This window comes from Homo sapiens, chromosome 13 (assembly GCF_000001405.40).
Source record: "Homo sapiens chromosome 13, GRCh38.p14 Primary Assembly".
Lineage (NCBI taxonomy): Eukaryota > Metazoa > Chordata > Mammalia > Primates > Hominidae > Homo > Homo sapiens.
The window spans coordinates 113,578,119-113,602,318 of NC_000013.11; the positions used below are offsets into that span (position 1 = coordinate 113,578,119).

The following is a 24,200-nucleotide window of genomic DNA, read 5'->3' on the forward strand; positions in this document are numbered from 1 at the left end:
CATTGAAGAATTTTTTAAGCAAGAAGCAGCATGACCTAATTTATTTATTTCTCTCTCTCTCTCCCTCCTTTCTTTCCTCCCTTCCTTCCTTCCCTCCTTCCTTCCTTCTTTCCTTCCTTCCTTCCCTCCCTCCTTCCTTCTTTCCTTCCTTCCTCTCTTTCTCTTTCTTTCCTCTCTCCCTCCCTTTCTTCCTTCCAAGTCCCACTGTGTCACTCAGGCTAGAGTGCAGTGGTGTGATCACTGGTCTCAAACAATCCTCCTGCTTCAGTCTTCCAAGTACCTGGGACTACAAGTATGTGCCACCACACTTGGCTAATTTTTTTTTTTTTTGAGATGGGGTCTCGCTCTGTTGCCCAGGCTGGAGTGCAGTGGTACGATCTCGGCTCACTGCAAGCTCTGCCTCCTGGGTTCATGCCATTCTCCTGCTTCAGCCTCCCCAGTAGCTGGGACTACCCAGAGTTGTGTCTGGCACTTAGCCCACCACCATGCCTGGCTAATTTTTTTTGTATTTTTAGTAGAGATGGGGTTTCACCATGTTGGCCAGGATGGTCTAGATCTCCTGACCTCGTGATCCGCCTGCCTCAGCCTCCCAAAGTGCTGGGATTATAGGCATGAGCCACCGCGCCTGGCCCATGCTTAGCTAATTTATAAAAAATTTTTTGTAGAGACAAAGTCTTGCTACATTACCCAGCCTGGTCTCAGACTCTTGGCCTCAAGCAATCTTCTTGCCTTGGCCTTCCAAAGTCCTGGGATTACAGGCATGAGCCACCATGCCCGGCCTAATCTCCAATTTTAAAATATCACTCTGCTGAATAGATAACAGATTAGATTATACAAGATTGGATGAAGGGAGTGATTTTTATAGTCCTCAATGGAGAGGATGCTATCTCGGCCAGGGTTGTAGCAGAGGAGGTAGAAAAACAGAGGAATTAAAGACATGTCAAGTTGGTAAGTGGTTGGAGTGAGGGCAAATGAAGTATTTGGCTTCTAGGTTTCTGTATGAAGGACTGGGTGGATGTCTTAGTCTGTTTGGGCTGCTTATAAACCACTGAAATTTATGTCTGATGAGGGTCTTGCTTGCTGGTTCATGGACAGCCATCTTTCTGCAGCATCCTCCCATACTGGAAGGGGCACAATGGTTCTTCTTGAGCCTCTTTTATCAGGCTTGCGCATTGCCGGCTGTTGCCCTCCAGGCAGCTCCTCGTGTTTAGAAAATGCACCTAAACACGGTGGGAGGCAGGTGCCCCCTGCCCCCTCCCACCGTTGAAGATGCACTATTACTTTGCTGCCATCCAGAGTGGGAAAGCTAGGGGCTGGAGGACGCACAGCCCTTGGAAAGCTCCCAGGCAGGACGTGAGTCTGGAGCACAGGGCTCTGATGAGATCTGGCGCAGAGTCATTCTAGCATCTGTTCAGTGTCCTGGTTCTGTCTGGACTGGCTGCTTGGTTCTTGCTTGCATTGCTTTTTTTTTTTTTTTTTAATCCTTTTGAGAAGGAGTCTTGCTCTGTCACCCAGGCTGGAGTGCAGTGGCGCGATCTCGGCTCACTGCAACCTCCACCTCCCAGGTTCAAACAATTCTCTTGCCTTAACCTCCCGAATAGCTGGGATTACAGGTGCCTACCACCAGGCCCAGCTAATTTTTTTTGTATTTTTAGTAGAGACAGGGTTTTACCATGTTGGCCAGCTGGTCTCGAAAAGAGACCTTGTCTCTCAAAGTGCTGAGATTACAGGCGTGAGCCACTGCACCCGGCCTGCTGCGTCGTTTCTGAGCTAGCACCTTGATTAGCACTGATCCTGCAGTGGCCTGCTTTCAGCTCATGCTGGCCTTGGTTTGTTTGCATCAGGACCCTTGGTTCTTCATCTTCTGACTGATGTCCTATCTCAGATGTCTTTCTCCAACCGATCCTCCTCACCTCTCTGAAACATGAGTCTCTTCATCAATCGGAAGAAACTGCCAATTGTCTCCCAATATCTGTTCTCCACGTTATTCTTTTGTAGATCTTTAAATGCTTAGGCAGTCATATGGCCCAGGGTAATGACTCTATTTCCAGCATCTTCTAGGTCAATGTGGCCATGAGCTAAGTTCTGGATAATGGGACAAACTGCTAAGAGCATTTTCCAAAACTGATCTGTTTCTGTTTGTGCACACACACACACACACACTCAGACACACCTGTGTACTCAGCTGGTCATAGTCTCTCTCAATTGTCACCTTCTCCATGAAGTGTTGCCAACTGTGTGCACGGAGAAATCATTGTTCTGTGCTTCCATACCCCCCTTCCCAATCGTGAATATGAGCTTGTCCCACCAGGTCACATCCATTATAATTGCAGGTGCATCTGTCTCTCCAGTTTGACTCTGGGCAGTCTCTTATTAATCTGCGTAATATCAGCACCCAGAGTTGTGTCTGGCACTTAGTAGGAGCTCAGAAATGCTTGCGGAGGGAGGAATGCAGGGAAGGCAAGGGTTTCGAAACTGTGGTTTCGTCTTCTTATTAACAAACTATATTTTTATCCACGTATTTCTCAGTTAAAGGAACGTGCCCATCACAGAGGCTAAGATCACTTATCCACAGTGATGTGGTGCCCCATCATCTCAGCATTGGTGTCAGTGGATGCTAAGATCCTTCTGTGAATCCGTAAGAGGAGTGGGCAGGCAGCACAAAAATGCCCAAAGGCACTCAATTGCATGTGAGGCCACATTTCTCAAACAAAATTACTCTGTAGGCTCCTGGTGCTGGCTTCACCTTGGGCTGAGGACAAATGGGTGCTATGGGGAAAGGAGATGACGCCAGGAGAACACAGATCTTTCAACCTGAAATCATGGGACTCCACAGGACATCACCTGACATCATCTTAGCCAGAGCGAAGCAAGCCGCAGGGCAGGCACACTTCAGGAGAATCTCGGAGTCAATGGCCAAGGTACCAAGGGGTCTCTCATCACAAAAGCCAGAAAAGAATCCAGATCAAAGCAAGGGAACATGTCTAAGGAGTAGGCAAAATTGGTTGATTCGGGTAAATTCAACTTTTATAAATCTGGTGATATGATCCTCTAGAATTTGTCAGATCCAAGGGGTGATTTTGAAAGAACTGTGGTTTCAGACTATAAATGAATGCGACAGTCTTTAAGACAGAAATAATATTATAGCATGCTAATGTGGCAGGATCACAACTGACTTTCCTTCCAAGAGGGAGAACTTGGGATTTGACCGGGAATTTTAAAAAGGAGCAATAACGCAGTAGGAGAGAGACAAAAAATGTCTTTGTGTCTGGGGGTGGTGGGGGGACTTAGGAGTGTTGATCTGTGAGAGCAAAGGAGAGCCACACGGGACAGACCTGGAGGTTGGGAAAGCGCACAGATTTTCCTGTGTTTTATGATACACTCAAATACACAGAGCAAAGTTTTCTAGAGATGCCTTTATTGACATTTTACTAAAGATCAAGAAAATGCCATTTACGCATATCCAGGAATATTATTTTTTAACTTTCCCCATAAATTCCATGAGTCCCTGCCTCCTGCTTGTCCTCCCACTGAAGGCCTCTTGCCATAGTGATGGAAGAAGGCAGAAAATAGGAGATGGTTGGAGAAAAGACCAATGTCATCGAGGAGGGAAACAAAAGACAATCTGGATATGTAATCAGCAGATTTAGAATTAAAACAGGGTTAGAAAATTCTCTCTCTCTGAAAGAGAGGACAGTTTAATGGGGGTGTGGAATTGGTGGGGAGAGTTTGCACCATGCCTGGAGACTCTGGAGCAGACACACACACAGCTTTTGCGAGATGAAGACTTTTCCTGGGAAGGACACGTTCACTTCTAGTAAAACACAGCACAGGCCATTTCCATGTAATATTTGGGACGGTAGCTGAATCTGGTGCCCACATGCACAAAACAAGACAGTATCTGGCCCCAACCATAGGGCTGAACCCAGCCTCTGGCATGTGGTGCAAGTCAACACCTGAACGAGTGCATCATTCAAAGAACCCTATCTCCTAAACAGCCCAGGCTCCAGAGATACAGGGAGGCCAAAGGCTTAGATAAATTCCGAGGGTTATGGGCTTATTTAGGAAGTTTGCATTTCAGCAACCCAATCGAGAGACTGCAAGGCAAGGCAGTGGCTAAAAATATTTGGATCATCAACCAAAATTTTAGAGGGAATTCTGTTAACTTTTGTTAAGAGAAACGAGGGCTTTCTGTGGAACATGTGGCTATGGAGAGGAAAAAGGGAGTAACTTTTTGCCCTTTTCCTAAGCCACACAGAGCACCGTGAGCATTCATTGCCGCAGTGCCTCGTGCGCGTTCGGAGTATCTCAGTACAGTGATTTTTGTGCAGAAACTTCTTTGAATAATATTAGTTATCAGCCATATAAACATTGTTGAATTATCAGAATCCTGAATTTGTGGGGAAGACGTTTAAGACCCCAATTTTGGACCCTACGTGTGTATCCTCCTAACTGGAGCCCCCAGGTCTCAGGGAGAAGTCCCCAGAGGCTGGGAGGGTGTCACTGTTGCCATCAGGGCTCAAATACTGACATTTAGGAACACATAAAGAATCCCTGTGAAACAGAAGGAACGGACCTAGGAAGATAGGGCCATTTGAGGAACATCAGTGTTCTCTAAGTATCTATTTGTGTGAACCAGCTCGCAGAAAGTGAGCGTTTCTGGTAGTCTTCAAAGAAGAAACGGGTGCTAACTTGTAAGCAGTTTAAGCCAAGTGACCAGAGCTTTAGGGGGTGCGGCGTTGCCTGAGGGGCAGGAGTGGCCAAAATCAGCATAAAACGTGCAAAGTGGGCTGTCATGTAATAATACACCGCACAGGCAGAGAGGCCTTTGGTCAGCTCCTCAAGTCCTCTGTAGATGTTCCTTACCCTCGGCGCGCACCAGCCTCTGCCGCCTGCTGTGGCCCTGAACTTCGGACTCTTCTCTGGCCTAGCCCGCCCTTGGCTGGGGTGCTCGGGCCTGGCCCTAGCGGCGGGGCCCTCCAGGGTGGATTAAGTCTCCAAGACTCCGGGACCACCAGGCTCACCATGCAATGAAACTGTTTCTGGAGTTTTCCTGTCCCTGCTTTCCCTCCCGAGTCCCGGGCCAGGCTGCGTCCGGTGGGCACCGAGGACGCCCAGAATTGTTGGGAATCTGGGCGGAGGCCCGTCGTGGGCTTGGAGGCCACCGGGTCCAGCAGAGGCAGAGGCCTCTGTGCCACGCACGCACACACACCTGCTCTCCTCCGTGTGTCCACATACACACGTCTATGCACACACCTGCTCTCCATACATGCACAGCCCCACACACAGTCGGCCCTTTATGTGCACACACACTCGTGCACACAAGCGGCCCCCTCTCCTCCGTGCATACAGGCGCACACACAGCTGGCTCTCCTCTTTGAGCACACACACTCAAGCACACACCCGGCCCCGCTCTTCCAAGTGCACACACACTCCTGCACACACTAGTCCCTGCTCCCCCCCCCACACTCGCGCACACAGCCGGCACTCTCTGCTCCCTGCACACAAACACACATCCTGACATACCCGGCCCCCTACCTGCTGCCCCATGTGCACACACACTAGTGCACACACCAGTCCCCGCTCCCTCACATGCACACACACTAGTGCACACACCAGTCCCCGCTCCCTCACATGCACACACACTAGTGCACACACCAGTCCCCGCTCCCTCACATGCACACACACGAGTGCACACACCAGTCCCCGCTCCCTCACATGCACACACTAGTGCACACACCAGTCCCCGCTCCCTCACATGCACACACTAGTGCACACACCAGTCCCCGCTCCCTCACATGCACACACTAGTGCACACACCAGTCCCCGCTCCCTCACATGCACACACACGAGTGCACACACCAGTCCCCGCTCCCTCACATGCACACACACGAGTGCACACACCAGTCCCCGCTCCCTCACATGCACACACACGAGTGCACACACCAGTCCCCGCTCCCTCACATGCACACACACGAGTGCACACACCAGTCCCCGCTCCCTCACATGCACACACACGAGTGCACACACCAGTCCCCGCTCCCTCACATGCACACACACTAGTGCACACACCAGTCCCCGCTCCCTCACGTGCACATGCACTAGTGCACACACTAGTCCCTGCTCCCCCACGTGCACACACACTCTTGCACACAGCCGGCCCCGCTCCCCCACGTGCACACACCAGCTCCCGCTCCCCCACATGCACACACACTCGTGCACATAGCCGGCCCCGCTCCCCCATGTGCACACACACTCTTGCACACAGCCGGCCACCTCTCTCTCCGGACACACACAGTCAGAGGCGCGCACAAACACAGTCCCTTGGCCGCCGAGCGCACGCCGCGCGCGCGCACTGCCCGTCCCGGCGCAGGCCCCAGCTACATCTCCGCACGCGCACGCGCACACACGGACACGCGCGCACAGCCCCTCCCCGCTCTCCCAGGGCGCGCAGCACTGGCGGGAGGAGCGGGAGACCGAGGAGCAGCAGAAGAGGAGGAGGAGGGCGCCGAAGGCGCGAAAAGGCGCGCAGGCGCGCTGCGCGGAGCGGGCCCGCCGCCGCCCACGTCACCGCGCCGCGCGCACGTCACGCCGGCCCGACGCTCGGCCAGGGTGAGCCCCGCGTCCCGGCGCCACTCGGCCCAGGGCAGGGACCCCGCCACGGCCGGGACCGCCCGGCCCGGCCCCAGCCCGCGCCTCTCCGCGCCGCCCCGCGCTCCGCACCGCGCCCTCTCCGCGTCCCCGCCCGCGCGGCCGGACCGGGCAGCCAGGTGCGGGTGGGCAGGGGATGCCGCGGGAGCCGCGGGCGGGAGCCGGGGGTGCGGGCGGGACCCCCGGCCACCCCATCCCTTGCCCCGGCCGCGTGTAGGCGCCGCGCGGCCCCGACCCGCGCCCTCCCGCGCCCTGCGCGCTCCTGTGCCTCGGGGACCCCGCGCGCTCGGCGCTGGTAGGGGCTCCCCAGGTGACCGCGGGGCGGGGGTCCCGGGCCCGGCCCTCCCGGCCGACAGCAGCGTCCGCGCCCCACGCTGGAGGTGGGGCCGGGGCCGGGGCCGGGGCTGGGGCCAGGGTCGGCCGGAGCGCGCAGGGCGGGGGAGGGGAGGCCGCCCCACGGCGGCCCGCGGGGACCCGGTTCCGGCGCGCGCGGGAGGCGCCTCGTGCGGAGGCGGCCCGAGGCCTAGTGACAGGCGCGCGGCGCGGACCCCGGAAGCCCACCTGTCAGAGTTACCGGTCAGCCGGGCGGGCGCCGCCGGGGTCTGGGGTGGACGCCGCGAGCCTGCACGTTGCGCCGGGACCCCGGGGCTGTGCCCAGGTGGGTGGTGGGGCACCCCCCTGCAGCGGCGGGAGGGAGGCGCTGCGCCCTGGCTCCTGGGGCTCGGCCCCACCCTCGGCCGCTGGGCGGGCCGTCGGGGACCTGGGGGTAGTGGTGGTGACCCTGCGGGCCCGCGGGCCACTTTTCCGCAGGGGGCATTTCCGTCTGGCGAGGCGACTGAAAATCCTGAGTGTGGGAGTCGGTTTGGCCAGCTCCGCTCTCAGGATGGAGGGTGCCTTTGGGAAGGAAGGTCCGCGTTTCCTTTGAGATGTGTTATTTTTTAAACTTCGTTTTTCATTCTTACTTATTTCTTGTTTTTCCTTACTTTTTTTTTTTTTTTTACCAGAAAAATCATTTTTCTTCTCTGGGAAGGTGAACATTTGTAGCATTGATTTCCCGGATCTGGTAACATGGCAAAAGATGTAAGTATGTTTGCTTCATGCTGCACACGAATGTTTGCCTCGCACTAAATTCTTTGTAGTTCTCTGCCTTTATTTCAGAATGACAACACATAAGCTACAGTAGTGTTTATTTTCAGACTTTTAAAGCGTCTGAAGCGGGATGAAGGTGAAAGATGGAAGGATCTGATCTCTGAAGCTGCGGTCACCACCCACAAGTTGTGGCCTTGGATACCACACTGCAGTTGGGTGGTGATGGGGTGGTGCCTTCTGACTTTTTCCTTATCTTTACCGACTGTGTTAATTGATAATTTTAAATAAACGCCTTAATTAAATTGAGGTGGAGGGTGTTGCAGCACCGCAGCGAATCCTGCATTTCTTGGGGGGCTTCCACATGAGACGCTGGACGGGGGCCAGGCTCAGGGCTCAGGCTGTAGCCACCTGCTGGCACCTGTCTTCCTACAGAGGAAGTTAATTCCACTTGGGTGGACCAAGAGCTAAGGACTTGTTTTGGCCACTTTTTTTCTCAGAAGGATGAGATTTCCTGATTTATGAAATCTGGTAAAAAATGCTACTTAGCCTGCTTTGCAGTTGTCATGAAACTATAGAATATTTTGAAAATTTTTTAAAGCCAGAAATTTAGTCTATTTTATTGGTGTGCGGTTCTTTACCGTGCTTGGTTATGTCAGTCACTGAAACACCAGCTGGATTCTTTAGTGTTTCCCACCGTGCATCGTTTTGTAACTGAGTGAAAGGTGCTGTTGATGTGTTTACCTACTTACCGCACAGAGTTGGAAAGAGTCCGCACATGCTGCCTCTGCCTGAGATACATCTGTAGCGAAAATGCGTCCAGAGTGTGGAGCCCTCTCCGTTGGCGCAGAGGTTTCAGTGGTCCCTGCGAGGCCTTTTGGGGTGTCTGCCCTCCCTGACCTGCGACCAGGCATGTCACACGGCATCCCTGCCTTCAAGCACTGGGGTCCCCTTTAGAGAGGGTGTGTGAGCACCCAGGTGGACCCAGTGTGAGTTTTTGAAGTCATATCTGGCTGTGCTGCGAGACTACTTTTATCCTCTCCACTGTGCTTGTCCGTACCATGCCCTGACCTCGTGCGGGCATGCACTCAGAATGCCAGATGTGGGCATGTGCTCAGCGCGCAAGCCATGTTCATTACATCTCCTCATGGTGAGGAGCTGGACCCAGGGCCTCGGTTAGAGCACGCTTCTGGTGTTGTGTGGTTTCCTGTGTGGTTTCCTCAGATGGTTCTCAAACACGCTTTGATACATAATGGATGGTGTTTTCGGGGCCCTCTTTCATTCCCCCGTGATTTCACTGGCACTGTCTGTGAGCAGCATGTAGTGTGAGGCTGGGGGTGGGGGGCGTGTGGAAAGGTGGTCCGGCTCTGCAGGACCCTGAATGCTCCATCCAGTGTGGGCACCTGAGACGCAGCATTTGTCAGGAACTGCATAGGCACAGGGGCTGGGGGCTCACCTTGCACTCAGGGGTTGTGATCTGAGTTGGGGGTTGGCGCTGGGAGGAGAGTAGGATTCTGCAGCTGGTGAGGCCTTCCCTGCTCAAAGCCTGGGAGTGGTCAGGAGTGCTGGGTCTGGATGGAAAGTGAGGTTGTGAACAAGTCAAGGAATTTGATGTTTTCGCTAGCTCTTTTTTTTTTTTTTTTTTTTGAGACAGAGTCTCACTCTGTCTCCCAAGCTGGAGTGCAGTGACGCGATCTTGGCTCACTGCAACCTCTGTCTCCTGGGTTTAAGCAATCCTCTCGCCTCAGCCTCCCGAGAAGCTAGGATTACAGGCATGTGCCACCATGCCTGGCAAATTTTTTTGTATTTTTAGTAGAGATGGGGTTTCACCATGTTGCCCAGGCTGGGCTCGAGCTCCTGACCTCAACAATCCACCCGCCTTACAGGCGTGAGCCACCGCGCCCGGCCTAGCTAACTCTTTTAAGTAGAGGTGTGACATTTGAGTTTTGAAAAGATGATGTTGGCAGCTTTTGCAGAAGGGAACATCGATAACCAGTTAGGTGTTTTGTTTTTGTTTTTTGAGACGGAGTTTTGCTTGTTGCCCAGGCTAGAGTGCAATGGCGCGACCTCAGCTCACTGTGACCTTGGCCTCCTGGGTTCAAGCAGTTCTTCTCCTCAGCCTCCCAAATAGCTGGGATTACAGGCGCGCCACCACACCCAGCTAATTTTTTGTTAGTAGACACGGGGTTTCACCATGTTGGCCAGGCTTGTCTTGAACTCCTGACCTCAGGGGATCCACCCACCTCGGCCTCCCAAAGTGCTGGGATTACAGGCGTGAGCCGCTGTGCCCAGCCCACCAGTTAGGTTTTTAAAAGCACTGGTACTGCAGTAAAACCACAGGTGTATGTCAAAAGCCTTTATGCTGGGGGAAAGCTGTGCCACTTGGGTTGAAGGAGGCAGGCCTCCAGCTTCTAAGTGCCCTGGGGCCTCTGTAGAGGGCCATGAGGGGCCACAGGATGCAGGGAGCTGGAGCTAGGCCCTGGTAGTCACCATGGAGGAGGAGAAACAAGGACATCCAAGACCTGAGGCTGGAAGGTTCTGGAGAGAACACAAGAGAAAAACAACTCCGGAGCTTCCAACCTCAAGTAGGGCACAGGGAGACAAGCGGGTGGGAAAAGGCCACAAATGGCTCCATGTGAGTGAGGGGCAGAAAGAAGAGGATGAGGTCAGTCCTCTGGGGGTGTCATCTTTGAACAGCAGTTGACAGGCAGTGGGTGTGAAGGTCTATATGGCAAGGAGCTACACACGAGGGAGGAGAGAGGTACTCTGAAAAGTTTGCAGAGTGGGTAGGAAATGACTGTGGAGCAGTGAGGAGAGTGATCAGTGATGGTGTAGTAGTTAGAGAGTGAGTGGTGGTGGACTTGATGGAGAGTGAGTGGTGGTGCTGGAGTGGTGGAGAGTGAGTGGTGATGGTAGATTGGACGGAGAGTGAGTGTGGTAGACTCGGGGACAGTGAGTGGTGATGGTAGATTGGATGGAGAGTGAGTGGTGGTAGGACTGGGGGAGAGAGAGTGGTGATGGTGGTGTAGGTGGAGAGTGAGTGGTGATGGTGGAGTTGGTAGAGTGAGTGTGGTGATGGTGTTGTGGGTGGAGAGTGAGTGATGGTAGTGTTGTGGGTGGACAGTGAGTGGTGATGGTGGTAGACTGGAGGAGAGTGAGTGTGGTGATGGTGTTGTGGGTGGAGAGTGAGTGGCGGTGCTGGAGTGGGTGATGTAGGGTCACAGAAGGAGGAAACAGCCTAGAAGGTGGCTGCCTTTGATGGTCCTTGAGTGGGCCCAGCTGGAGAAATGGTGAGAAGGATTAGGTTTCTGTTGTCTTGCTCAGGGACTTTTTATTTTATTGCACTTATTTGAATTAAAATGGTAAATTCAAATGGAATATTTGTGTTTATACTCTGTTAAGTGGGAGAATGTGGAGAACAGGAGTCAGCTGCCATACGGCCACCTGGCTGGCTCCGGGAACCTGAGGCCTGGTCTTGCCCAGCAGGAGCGCTGGCATAGCATGGATCACTTACAGAAATTTATGATCAAGATTATGGGCTGCTCCTGGCAATATGGGGAGGATTTCCTTGCTGTGGGGACTGTCTGTTTCCATGCCTGGCCCACCCGGTCTGTGATAGCCTCAGGTGCAGTCCTGTCTTAAGTTTGGAGACACCCTGGGAGGTCCGTACAGACTCTTTGAGTTTCTGAACTGTCCTCGAAACATCTCAGGCCCTCCGCCTCAGGGCCTAGGGAGGCTGTCCTCTGGTTCCTGAACAGGGTGGCTCTGACCCGCAGATCTGTGGGCTCCCGTTGCAGGTACCGGTGGTGCTCGGAACCGTCCTCAGATTCAGTCTTGGAAGGTGCTTTGGCACCTCCTTAGAGTCGGACAGACCCTTGTCACGAGTCAGTCCAGCTGCAGGGGCTCAAGTTGTTCTAGAGCTGGGCTGGCAGGGCCCTTGGGTGAGGGAGTGTGGCTTGGCACTGGCATCTCAGCCTGCGGCCAAGTTTCCTGCCTGCCCAGGCAGCATGACCCTTGGTGGGATCAGGCAGAGCTCTGCCTCTCCCCTCCCTACCTCGGAACATCCTGTCGTCACACACGATTGTCCAGTGTCATGAAAGTTTGTAAGTGGGAAGGCAGGCAGATGATGAATTCATCAAACATTACAGGGATGCTTTTGCTGTAAGACTTCGGGATGTAGCCCGTGTGGGGCTGTTTCTGGGGTCCCGTTCGCCTCTCCAAGCTCCTCCTGCCATTGGTAAAGATGCAGGGCATCTGAACTCGCTCTTGGGCTGTGCGGGCACTTGGACCTGGTCAGCTCCCTGTGCAGAGAACGTGGCTGTGGACGTCACTGCCCGGTATTCACGTGCCTTGGTTGTGAAAGCCGTTCTGTGGTGCCTGTTTGTGTCCTGTGAGTTTATGGGGAAATCCTGAAATTGAGAGCTGGGGACCAAGAGAACTGTGTGCGTCCCACCATGGAGGCGTTTGAGTGATGCTGTCACGAGGCTCTGCTAATGCCAAGAGGGGACCAATGAGCTCCTCTAAGGGTCTACCACCAGGTGTCCTTTTACAGACCTGGATGGTGAAGTTCAGGCCTGAAGAGGTGAACCTGATGCAGCAACAAACTGCTGTTTCCTTCAGTGCTTGAAGGAGTGAGTTCTGGGAACAGGATTCAGCGACTCAGGCCTTCTTTTGTCCTCATAAAGAAACAACTTTACATTTGAGGTTAAGAAGGTTGTCAGTTTAGCCCCCTCAGGTTTAAGTGTTGAAGAAATCTATGATGACGTGCTTGTTTTTACAAGAGTCTTTTCATATTTCAGGATTTTTTTTTTCTACATAGGATGAGGTTAGAGAAACTCTGAAGGGATATTAAAAATTAGAAAATTATAGGTTGGGCCGGGCGCAGTGGCTCACGCCTGTAATCCCAGCACTTTGGGAGGCCGAGGCAGGTGGATCACAAGGTCAGGAGATTGAGACCATCCTGGCTAAGAGGGTGAAACCCCTTCTCCACTAAAAATACAAAAAATTAGCCAGGCATGGTGGTGGGCGCCTGTAGTCCCAGCTACTGGGGAGGCTGAGTTAGGAGAATGGCGTGAACTCGGGAGGCGGAGCTTGCAGTGAGCAGAGATCACGCCACTGCACTCCAGCCTGGGCGACAGAGCGAGACTCTGTCTCAAAAAAAAAAAAAAAAAAAAAGAAAAAGAAAATTATAGGTTAATTAAAAGTTTTGCCCCTGCTGGGCACGGTGGCTCATGCCTGTAATCCCGGAGGCCAAGGCGGGTGGATCACCTGAGGTCAGGAGTTCGAGACCAGTCTGGCCAACATGGCAAAACCCTGTCTCTACTAAACATACAGAAATTAGCTGGGCGTGGTGGCGGGCGCCTGTAATCCCAGCTACTCTCGAGGCTGAGAAGGAGAATCGCTTGAACCCGGGAGGCGGAGGTTGCAGTGAGCCGAGATCACGCCATTGCACTCCAGCCTGGGTGACAAGAGCAAGACTTCATCTCAAAAAAAAAAAAAAAGAAAAAAGTTTTGCCCCTAAAACATGCTTTAAAAGAGGTATTATAGGAACATCTGGTATAAAATTCAAAGAATAAAAAAGGACATCTTTTTTCTTACATAATCAGCTCTTTGTTAGCTCTTTACTTTTGGTATTTGGAAGAAATCTCTGGAGTTCGTTGTGTAAGAATTGGAAACCTCACCTTTGGTGCACAGCTCGATTTGCAGTAGAAGTATCAGGTGCTCTTTAGGGGATGTTAAAAACTTTTCACTCTTGGTATTTACATTAAAAAATACTTTGTTGTAGAACAATTAGAAAATCCAGATTTGCAGTTGATATTTAGCTTGACTTACAGTGTGGCTTTCTGCTGTTTGTCATAAGAGACTAGATTTGTCAAGTTTTGCTTAGAGAGGAGGACTGGTAGCAGCAGGTGGCTTAGACTACGTGTGGGGATGGATCTGCGAGGGGAAGGGCAGATGTCAGCGTTGGCTGAATTAGAGGCTGAATTAGGTGACCCCTCATCCCCCAGGTGTCTTACTCAGATGATTCTGGTTGTTCGGGTACTGGCCATGCACTGCTCTCTGTATCTTTGTGTGTAGCCCAAGCCTGGAAAAGCATCCGCCCTTTGTACCTTTTTCCCGACTGGCTGAGATTCCCGCAGCATCCCGACTCCGCTTCAGGGCTCCTGTGAGGACAGGGACTATGGCTTTTAAGTTGTCGCACAGGTCATGGGCACTATTCACATGTGCTGCAGGTAATTTTGAGACTCAAGGATGAAGAGTTATATCTGCCTCTTCCCGTTAGTCTTTTATGTGAATCCTGTTTGTTTGTTTGTTTCGAGACGGAGTTTCGTTCTTGTTGCCCAGGCTGGAGTGCAATGGCACGATCTTGGCTCACCACAACCTCTGTCTCCCGGGTTCAAGCGATTCTCTGACCTCAGCCTCCCAAGTAGCTGGGATTACAGGCATGCGCCACCATACCCTGCTAATTTTTTGTATTTTTAGTAGAGACGGGGTTTCTTCATGTTGCTCAGGCTGGTCTTGAACTCCCGACCTCAGGTGATCCGCCCGCCTTGGCCTCCCAGAGTGCTGGGATTCCAGGCGTGAGCCACCGCGCCTGGCCATGAATCCTGTTTTTCTATGGTCCAGTTTCTAAGGGATTCTGGTCTGATGAATGAAAACCTTGTGTGTCCCCTGTGGCTTTGGGATACAGTATCTTTTAACACAGGTGCTTGCCCTGTGCACCCTGGTCTTCTGTTCATTAACATCGCGTCACTGGGGTCTGAGGAAAAGAGACAGTGTGATCCGCTCCAGTGAATGGGGAAGCAGGAGAGGGTCAGAAACCTGAATGGGTCAGCCCAGAATCCAGCATTGCCAACACATCCCTGGCCCTCCCCTCCTGCCCAGGTGACAGGTGTGGCATATGCTGGTCCTCAGCCCTGCCCAGGAGACAGTTGTGGTGTCTGTGGGTCTTCAGCCCTGCCCAGGTGACAGGTGTGGTGTGTGCTGGTCTTCAGCTGTGCCCAAGAGACAGTTGTGGTGTGCACGGGTCCTCAGCCCTGCCCAGGTGACAGGTGTGCTGTGTGCTGGTCCTCAGCCCTGCCCAGGTGACAGGCGTGCTGTGTGCTGGTTCTCAGCCCTGCCCAGGTGACAGGTGTGCTGTGCACGCGTCCTCAGCTATACACAGGTGTCAGGCGTGATGCGTGTGGGTCCTCAGCCCTGCCCAGGTGACAGGTGTGGTGTGCGCGGGTCCTCAGCCCTGCCCAGGTGACAGGTGTGCTGTGTGTGGGTCCTCAGCCCTGCCCAGGTGACAGGTGTGCTGTGTGTGGGTCCTCACCCTGCCCAGGTGACAGGTGTGCTGTGTGCTGATCCTCAGCCCTGTCCAGGTGACAGGTGTGCTGTGCACGCGTCCTCAGCTATACACAGGTGTCAGGCGTGATGCGTGTGGGTCCTCAGCCCTGTCCAGGTGACAGGTGTGGTGTGCGCAGGTCCTCAGCCCTGCCCAGGTGACAGGTGTGCTGTGTGTGGGTCCTCACCCTGCCCAGGTGACAGGTGTGTGTGCGGGTCCTCAGCCCTGCCCAGGTGACAGGTGTGCTGTGTGCTGATCCTCAGCCCTGTCCAGGTGACAGGTGTGGTGTGCGCGGGTCCTCAGCCGTGCCCAGGTGACAGGTGTGCTGTGTGTGGGTCCTCACCCTGCCCAGGTGACAGGTGTGGTGTGTGCGGGTCCTCAGCCGTGCCCAGGTGACAGGTGTGCTGTGTGTGGGTCCTCACCCTGCCCAGGTGACAGTTGTGCTGTGTGCAGGTCCTCACCCACCCAGGTGACAGGTGTGGTGTACACGGGTCCTCAGCTGTGCCCAGGTGACAGGTGTGGTGTACGTGGGTCCTCAGCCCTGCCCAGGTGATAGGTGTGGTGTGCGCGGGTCCTCAGCCGTGCCCAGGTGACAGGTGTGCTGTGCACGCGTCCTCAGCTATACACAGGTGTCAGGCGTGATGCGTGTGGGTCCTCAGCCCTGCCCAGGTGACAGGTGTGCTGTGTGCTGATCCTCAGCCCTGTCCAGGTGACAGGTGTGGTGTGTGCGGGTCCTCAGCCGTGCCCAGGTGACAGGTGTGCTGTGTGTGGGTCCTCACCCTGCCCAGGTGACAGTTGTGCTGTGTGTGGGTCCTCACCCTGCCCAGGTGACAGTTGTGCTGTGTGCAGGTCCTCACCCACCCAGGTGACAGGTGTGGTGTACACGGGTCCTCAGCCGTGCCCAGGTGACAGGTGTGGTGTACGTGGGTCCTCAGCCCTGCCCAGGTGATAGGTGTGGTGTGCGCGGGTCCTCAGCCGTGCCCAGGTGACAGGTGTGCTGTGTGCAGGTCCTCACCCAGCCAGGTGACAGGTGTGGTGTACACGGGTCCTCAGCCGTGCCCAGGTGACAGGTGTGGTGTACGTGGGTCCTCAGCCCTGTCCAGGTGGCAGGTGTCCTGTGTGTGGGTCCTCACCCTGCCCAGGTGACAGGTGTGCTGTGCACGCGTCCTCAGCTATACACAGGTGTCAGGCGTGATGCGTGTGGGTCCTCAGCCCTGCCCAGGTGACAGGTGTGCTGTGTGCTGATCCTCAGCCCTGCCCAGGTGACAGGTGTGCTGTGTGCTGATCCTCAGCCCTGTCCAGGTGACAGGTATGGTGTGCGCGGGTCCTCAGCCCTGCCCAGGTGACAGGTGTGCTGTGTGTGGGTCCTCTGCCCTGCCCAGGTGATAGGTGTGGTGTGCATGAGTCCTCAGCCCTGCCCAGGTGACAGGTGTCCCGTGTGCTGGTCCTCAGCTGTGCCCAGGCTTGGGCTGTGGGTGCCGCCCGTTCCCAGTGGACATGGAATCCTTGTGTTACTGAGTGACCTGCGTGTGCTGGTTGCTGCACCAGCGGGCTTTTCTGTCGCAGTTGCTTTTTAATTGTATCCATTAAGTAGACTTTCCACAAGAAAATAATATGACTTACTAAAAAAAGTTCAAGTAATATTTCTTCTGATTATAAGAGTAATCTTAGTTGCAGAAAATTTGGAAAAATTCTAGGAAAGCAAAAAGAAGAAAATGAAGTCACGTTCATATGTGAGCTGAATTGTTAGGGTTTCATAGCATATGCCTGTTGGATTTCTATTTAGCCGTGTGTAATAAAGGCAGCTTTTCCAAGATGGGAATGTGCTGTACCTTCTGTTTCTAATCTTTTCACCTCAGTATATTGTCAGTGTTTTCTCTGGTCAGTTATTTTTTTCTACCATGTTTTCAGCAGCTGTATGTTTTTGGTACGTTGGGGAGTCGTAGATGGTCAGTTACTGAAAAAGTGGGTTAACGTGGGAGATAATTAAAAAAAAGACGCTGTACCTAAACACTTCATTTTACATTCAAACAAATGTGCATCTGGTCCCCAAATCTCTTGGCTCTGGACTGAACGCCCCTTCTTGGAGAGTGGGCCACCCCTTCAAGCCACGCCCACCATACTGGGTTTTGATTTCTGTAGACTGAATGGAGAACATAAAAGACATCTCAGGACACGGAGTGCAGCCTCCTGGGTTGTTTGCAGTTTTCCCAGGATGCTGCTAACAGTGCCACTGGTATAGAGGGGTGTCTGGAATGAGCAAGGCTGAGTCTGAGACATGTGGATCTGTCCGAGAGAGTCCTGTCAGCCTGGTGCTTTACAGGAAAGGCGGTGGAGTTAGGAGCGCTCTTCCTGCTGCATGGATGTGTCTCAGTAATTACCCACTCCCCTGTGGTTGGGGATTCTAGTGGTTTCCAGTTAAATCTTCCCAAATTTGCACAAATCCAGGATGAGTCTTAGGATGAATTCCTGGAGGTGAAATTGCCTGTGCGCGTGCATGTCTGTGAGTGCAGATGCTGGTCTTTTCAGGTCGCTTTCAGCACAGTGTGAGGTATAGCCGTCAGGCTTTTTAGCTGCTGTGTAGTCATTTACTTCCTCTCCTTGAAAGTATTAATGGCGGCCGGGTGCGGTGGCTCACGCCTGTAATCCCAGCACTTTGGGAGGCTGAGGCGGGCGGATCACAAGGTCAGGATATCGAGACCATCCTGGCTAACATGGTGAAACCCCGTCTCTACTAAAAATACAAAAAGTTAGCTGGGCGTGGTGGCGGGCACCTGTAGTCCCAGCTACTTGGGAGGCTGAGGCAGGAGAATGGTGTGAACCCAGGAGGCGGAGCTTGCAGTGAGCCAAGATGGCGCCGCTGCACTCCCGCCTGGGCGACAGAGTGAGACTCCGTCTCAAAAAAAAAAAGTATTAATGGCTCGGAGTAACTTGTATGGGACTTATTTTAGGCTCCACTATTTCTTTTGCCTTTAAGAAAAATCAAGGCTTGAATGAAAATATTTCGTGTCACCACTATTGATAGAACCCAAATTATATTTTGCAGGGAAGCAGGATGAAGAGGGAGATGACCGTGGTGGGAGTTCAGCCTCTGACTTTGTTTTCATGCCTGAGTTTGAGGTCATATGTCTTACCCAGTTATTGACTCTTGGAGGCCATTCCTGCTTTAGGGCATCCTTTGACTCCGGGAGTCGTTTTTAAGCTGAGGGGCCTTATCTGGAACGATGCAGCATGGAGGACAGATGTCTGCCTCGGTGTCATCCCGGTAGCCCGAGTTGAGCTGGCTGTGGATGAGGGGTTCCTCTTGCTTCAGGAGACCCTGGGTGTCCCCTCCCCAGCACGGCCAGGTTGGGGAGGAGGAGTCACACATTTGACAGCTCACGGGGTGTGCAGCCACAGAACTGGAAGCCTGGTCTGTAGGCTCCGTGTCTGGGAGCTCTTCAGGCCAGCGGTGGAGTCGGCTAGCCACGATGACTTTTGCCCGGACTTAACCTCTTTTTTCTCTAACAAATGGAAAAGCAGTTCCCATTGGAGTGGCCAGACCAAATCCTATTCTGGGGTGGAAGGGGATGAAGGTGGTCAGCATCGAGGTTGATCTTGATGCCAGTCCCCATCCCAGGCTGTGGTTCCAGTGGCATTTATCACATGTGGATGCTGATCCTGGAAGCCCTGCTTCGTGTTTTTGGGCATTTGTTCCCTGGAGCCCTGTTTTTGCTCACTGTTGAGACAGAAAGGCTGCGCGTCCCCTCGCCCCAGCCTGTCCTGAGCTTGCCTCACTGTGCATCCTTGTGGGTGGGCGTCAAACCCCGCACCTGAGTCTGCTGCGGCTCTGGTGCCTGCCCGGCGCCATTGTCAGGGTGGGTGTCCTGGGCCCTCTGGATACCCCCTGTCTGGCCGGGGTTGCCGCTCCGTTCTGACCCCAGGCCACCCTGGAGGAGGGTTTCTGAGAGTGCCGGTGGCTCACTCTGTCCTTGGATGACTTGATTTTTGTTAAAATGGAAATGGAAATTCTTTCTAAAAGGGAAAAGAGTATAATGTAAAAACTTTTCCAGAAGAGAAATTAGATTAACATATTGTTATTTTTAAAGTTAGCTGCTATGATAAATAAATAGATGAATGGAGATGGTCTCCACCTCCCACAGGCTGGCGGTATACTCGGGCGAGGGCTATGGGGCGGCTCTTCCCTGAGGCCCCAGGCCTGGACCCCGTCGCGCTGTCTGGCAGCGTGTGCTGCATTTCCCTCTGGAGGATTTTCCCACCGGAACCTGTGTGATGTGTTGTGGAGGAAGCTGTGTGAGGCAGGGGTCCCGGGGCCTGAACGGCTGGACCTTGCTAGCCCTGCGACCTCAGGTGGGGACTCCTGGCCTCTGTGTGCTCGCCTGTCCCACGTGGGCGGCCAGCTGCCCTCCCTACAGGGCAGTGAGGGAGAAAGGAGGGCGTCAGCTGCTTGCCACGTCCTGGCTGAACTTGGATGGATTCAAAAGAGTGAACATAAGGCTTTGACGAAATTAGGAGCACCTCACAGGCCTGGGCGCTGTGTAAGACCTCCTCCCAGCCACGAGGGGCTGATCTGATCAGAGCTGGAGGGACGGCCATTGCCGTGTGTCCAATGTGAGGGCTCTGAGCTCAGGAGCCAGCATCCAGACACGCTGGGGACTCTGCGGCCTCTGTCTTTGCCCCAGTGTTGCACAGAGGGGCCCTGGCTTTCCCTGGGCACTGTTTAGAATGATTGAGGGGGTGGCAGGTGGCCAGAAACGGGAGAGGTGGAGTCTCCGAGGCAGCAGGCCTCCCCTGCAGGCTGCTGCTTCCAGGAGGGCTGCAGGCACGAGGTGTTCAAATGCAGCAGTGACTTCATAAGAAAAGGGAGTGGAGCCGCCGACATTTCAGGTGAGTTGTCATCAAGAGTGCAGAATCCAACTGTGTTGGGAGCCACTTGCTGGTGCCTGGCCAAGTTCCCGTCTGGTCCCTCTACTCCCCACCACCCCAGCCCTGGAAAACCGTGCCTGCCAGGTTCATACCACACAACCCGGTGCAGCCCACCCCAAAGACAGCGGGAGGCAGGATGCAAGCACCTTTTTAACGGCTGTGGAACTGATGTATGGGTTTTCCAGGCAGTTTTGCATTTGTGCCTGTTGTAGACTAGAGCATCATTTGGTGTTTTTCTGCTGGAAAAGCAGGCTTTAGAGTGGTGGCTGAAAGTCTCATTATAGATTATATAGATTAGAGCAGCCTCTCCTGGGAGAGGGATGCTGGGTGCCTGCCTTCCAAGTGTCTGCTCATGAGTGGATGGGCCCCACCCTCTGTGCCTGCTGGGGCTTCAGAATCCACTGGTTTCCTGAAGGTTCTGGTGCCCCCGAAGCACAGCCCCACCTCCCTAACCTGCCCTCCTGTGACTCCCATTGTGTATGAACTTACCTCCTCGCTCTTCAGCTTCCCCTGCCTGATGGCTCCAGGCTGTCCCCTGAGGACCTGGGGTTCGTGTTGCCCTCCTGGGTGGAGTCTGCGTCCCCCTTTCCTGGTCATTTAAGTTGCGTGGGGCCGGGAGGAGGCGTTCTCTGCCCCTACGTGGCTCACACTGTGGTTCTGTGGCCGCCGTCCCTCTGTCCGCTCGGGGTAGCCAGCTTCCTCTGACTCTTTCTTAGGGTGATGTTGGGCACCACCCTCGCCTGCAGCTCATCACCTCTGGATGGATCTTGTTAGGTGTGTGGCTTTTCCCTTAGTTTAGAAAATGAAATCGCCTTATTGCTTTGTTCGGTTATGAAAATGGAAAGTTTATTTAAAAACGTAGGGTGCAGAAAGGTGTCAGAAAGTAAGCAGTCATCTGAAATGACAGTCAACGGGGCTCTGCTGTTAAGGCTTTTTGGTGATTGTTTCTGGGGATGCCCTAGATGTGTGTGTTTAAATACACATGTACAGTACGGAATTCTAAATAAATGAACTCACATGTTTTGTTCACTGCTATGTTTTACTCAACAGTTTGTCCTAGGTTTTTTTTTTTCACATCAATAAATATAAGCAGAGATAATTCTAAAAAATTTGTGGAACGTTTCAGACACACACAAAGGAGAGAGATTGTGCTGGTGCCTCGTCCCTGTCACGGACCTGGGTGACTCCCTGCCGGGCCAGGGTGATCATTAAGTAGTTATTAAATATTCTGACATGTGTCTCTCAGAGATAGTCATTCACTCTTATTGTCACATAGGCAGCATTTACATTTCTCAAGTTGTCTCAAATTTGGAAAGTTTGTTTGCATTGGAGCCTCGCCCCCTCCAGGCTGCTGGAGTCTGGTCTCGCTGATGCGCCCTCACGTACTCCACCCTGTTGATGGGCTGCCCTGGCTGAATGTTCATCCTTCGAAACCCTCAAAGGTGTTGGGTGTTGGGGCCTTTGGGAGTGACTAGAATTGAGTGAGGGCACGCGGGTGTAGTCCCCCCTGCCCTGTTGGATCAGTGTCCTGATAGCCAGTCCCCACGGCGAGCCTGCCCTTTTCCCACCTTGCGAGGCCCAAGGAGGAGGTAGTAGGTGCAGCCTGGAAGCTGGCTCTGCCCTGACCTCCCGCTTCCACATCCAGGACCGTGAGAGAGAATCCTTGCACTTAGGGCTCCAGGACTACGAGAGAGAACCCAGGACCGTGAGAGAGAACCCAGGACCATGAGAAAGAACCCAGGACCGTGAAAGAGAACCCTTGTGCTTAGGGCTTCAGGACTGCCAGAGAGAATCCTTGTATGTAGGGCTCCAGAACCGTGAGAGAGAACCCAGGACTGTGATAAAGAATCCTTGCACGTAGGGCTCCAGGACCATGAGAGAGAGCCCAGGACCGTGAGAGAGAATCCTTGTATGTAGGGCTCCAGAACCGTGAGAGAGAACCCAGGACTGTGAGAGAGAATCCTTGCACGTAGGGCTCCAGGACCATGAGAGAGAACCCAGGACCGTGAGAGAGAATCCTTGTATGTAGGGCTCCAGAGCCGTGAGAGAGAACCCAGGACCGTGAGAGAGAATCCTTGCACGTAGGGCTCCAGGACCGTGAGAGAGAACCCTCGTGCTTAGGGCTCCAGGACCATGAGAGAGAACCCTCACACATAGGGCTCCAGGACCGCGATAGAGAACTCAGGACCGTGAGAGAGAACCCTTGCACGTAGGGCTCCAGGACCATGAGAGAGAACCCTCACACATAGGGCTCCAGGACCGCGATAGAGAACCCAGGACCGTAAGCGAGAATCCTTGCACTTAGGGCTCCAGGACTGTGAGAGAGAACCCTTGCACATAGGGCTCCAGGACTGCAAGAGAGAACCCAGAACCATGAGAGAGAATCCTTGTACGTAGGGCTCCAGGACCATGAGACAGAACCCTCACGTGGGGATCCAGGACCGCGATAGAGAACTCAGGACTGCAAGAGAGAACCCAGGACCCAGGACCGTGAGAGAGAATCCTCGCACGTGGGGCTCCAGGACCATAAGAGAGAACCCTTACACGTAGAGCTCCAGGACCGTGATAGAGAACTCAGGATGGTGAGAGAGAATCCTTGCATGTAGGGCTCCAGGACCATGAGAGAGAACCCTCACGTAGGGCTCCAGGACCGCGATAGAGAACCCAGGACCGTGAGAGAGAATCCTTGCACGTAGGGCTACAGGACCGTGAGAGACAACCCTCACACGTAGAACTCCAGGACCGTGATAGAGAACTCAGGACTGCAAGAGAGAACCCAGGACCCAGAACCGTGAGAGAGAATCCTCGCACGTGGGGCTCCAGGACCATGAGACAGAAGCCTTGCACGTAGGGCTCCAGGACCACGAGAGAGAACCCTCCTGCTCTTCCCACTTGATGCTTTTGCTCACTCGGAGCGTGTTTGTGAGATGAGCCTTCACGCTGTCCTGGATCTTCTCCAGATGCGAGGTTCTTTTCTGCTGCATCCCTCCTCTGTGGTGGCACCATCTCCTCTTGCCTGAGGTGGGGAGGTGTTGGCCTCCGTAGCTGAGAAGGGCTGGGCCTGGCGGTCACCCAGCGTCTCCTGCCTGGACTTAGCAACTTGAACCAGCAGCGTCTGTCACCTCCTAGTGCCTGTTAGGAGCCCAGGTCCCCGTTCAGCCTGTCCCGGGCGGCCCTGGCCTGTGGTGCCCTGAGTTGGTCTGGGCAGGACCACTTTCAAATTAACTCACCCGGCTGCTGGTGGGATCCCGCTCCTTGTGGGCTGTTGGTGGGGGTGTGTTCTTGCACTTTGCCTTGTGGGCCCCTGCGTAGGGCAGCTCGCTGGTGGCTTCCTCAGGGTGAGCCAGCAAGGTCAGAGTCGGTCTCTTGAGGCCACCCTCACCCTCACCAGGCTCTGGTGCTTGGTGGGAGCAGGGCAGGGCAGCCCACTTGGGGGCCCCTGCAGGGCCAGGGCACTGGAAGGGATGGCTAGGGCCACCGGAGGTCGTCCCTGAGCTCTGGGGTTGTGTTTGTTCCCAGGTGTGCTCTCCAGGGTCCAGGAGGACTCGTGGGAGCTCGAGGCTGGGGTCCCAGGCCCGGCCCCAGAGGAAGGGCCTGTGGCCAGGTGCGCGGAAGGTGCTGGCTATTTGTGGTGGGCAACCCAACAGCCAAAAGGGAGGAGCAGAGAGAGTTCTCCGCAGGAGTTGATGGGGGAGCAGACAGAGTTACCCGCAGGAGTTGAGGGAGGAGCGGATGGAGTTACCTGCAGGAGTCGAGGGAGGAGCGGAGAGAGCTACTCCCTCTGTAGCTCTGAGAGGAGGACAGAGCTACTCCCTCTGTAGCTCTGAGAGGAGGACAGAGCTACTCCCTCTGTAGCCCTGTAGCGGACAGAGGAGGGACGGAGCTACCCGCAGGAGTCGAGGGAGGAGCGGACAGAGTTACCTGAAGGAGTTCAGGGAGGAGTGGATGGAGTTACCCACAGCAGTCGAGGGAGAAGCGGATGGAGTTACCCGCAGGAGTCGAGGGAGGAGTGGACAGAGTTACCCGCAGGAGTTGAGGGAGGAGTGGACGGAGTTACCCACAGGAGTCGAGGGAGGAGTGGACGGAGTTACCCGCAGGAGCTGAGGGAGGAGCGGACGGAGTTACCTGCAGGAGTCGAGGGAGGAGTGGACTGAGTTACCTGCAGGAGTCGAGGGAGGAGTGGACAGAGTTACCCGCAGGAGTTGAGGGA

The 24,200-nt window shown here is 54.1% G+C and overlaps 1 protein-coding gene across 25 annotated transcripts in view, besides 6 other annotated features; it reads left to right on the forward strand.

The window, feature by feature from the left end:
- Positions 4,484 to 5,457: an enhancer, noted in NCBI's record as "H3K27ac-H3K4me1 hESC enhancer chr13:114236917-114237890 (GRCh37/hg19 assembly coordinates)". NCBI's record gives its function as "activates a minimal SCP1, AML or CMV promoter by ChIP-STARR-seq in naive H9 embryonic stem cells {active_cell/tissue: H9 hESC(naive)}" and the evidence as "EXISTENCE:reporter gene assay evidence [ECO:0000049][PMID:30033119]".
- Positions 5,458 to 6,429: an enhancer, noted in NCBI's record as "H3K27ac-H3K4me1 hESC enhancer chr13:114237891-114238862 (GRCh37/hg19 assembly coordinates)". NCBI's record gives its function as "activates a minimal SCP1, AML or CMV promoter by ChIP-STARR-seq in naive H9 embryonic stem cells {active_cell/tissue: H9 hESC(naive)}" and the evidence as "EXISTENCE:reporter gene assay evidence [ECO:0000049][PMID:30033119]".
- Positions 6,398 to 6,727: a silencer, noted in NCBI's record as "silent region_5549". NCBI's record gives its function as "represses an Ori minimal core promoter by ATAC-STARR-seq in GM12878 lymphoblastoid cells {active_cell/tissue: GM12878}" and the evidence as "EXISTENCE:reporter gene assay evidence [ECO:0000049][PMID:35858748]".
- The window catches only part of TFDP1 (transcription factor Dp-1), a 56,786-nt gene continuing 39,155 nt past the window's right edge, over positions 6,570 to 24,200 (forward strand). For 5 of the 25 annotated variants that reach the window (NR_026580.1, XM_017020717.2, XM_005268327.2 and 2 more), the window contains exons 1-2: positions 6,570 to 6,612; positions 7,656 to 7,731. Coding sequence is in view for 24 of the 25 variants with exons in the window: in XM_017020717.2 (XP_016876206.1) it covers positions 7,720 to 7,731 (12 nt within the window). In the remaining variant the exon portion in view is untranslated. Of the gene's footprint in view, positions 6,613 to 6,634; positions 7,560 to 7,655; positions 7,732 to 24,200 lie in introns of those variants that run through there. The other 20 variants (XM_047430554.1, XM_047430561.1, NM_007111.5 and 17 more) reach the window with 11 other exon arrangements.
- Positions 7,098 to 7,467: a silencer, noted in NCBI's record as "silent region_5550". NCBI's record gives its function as "represses an Ori minimal core promoter by ATAC-STARR-seq in GM12878 lymphoblastoid cells {active_cell/tissue: GM12878}" and the evidence as "EXISTENCE:reporter gene assay evidence [ECO:0000049][PMID:35858748]".
- Positions 8,407 to 9,007: an enhancer, noted in NCBI's record as "H3K4me1 hESC enhancer chr13:114240840-114241440 (GRCh37/hg19 assembly coordinates)". NCBI's record gives its function as "activates a minimal SCP1, AML or CMV promoter by ChIP-STARR-seq in primed H9 embryonic stem cells {active_cell/tissue: H9 hESC(primed)}" and the evidence as "EXISTENCE:reporter gene assay evidence [ECO:0000049][PMID:30033119]".
- Positions 19,197 to 19,697: an enhancer, noted in NCBI's record as "H3K4me1 hESC enhancer chr13:114251630-114252130 (GRCh37/hg19 assembly coordinates)". NCBI's record gives its function as "activates a minimal SCP1, AML or CMV promoter by ChIP-STARR-seq in primed H9 embryonic stem cells {active_cell/tissue: H9 hESC(primed)}" and the evidence as "EXISTENCE:reporter gene assay evidence [ECO:0000049][PMID:30033119]".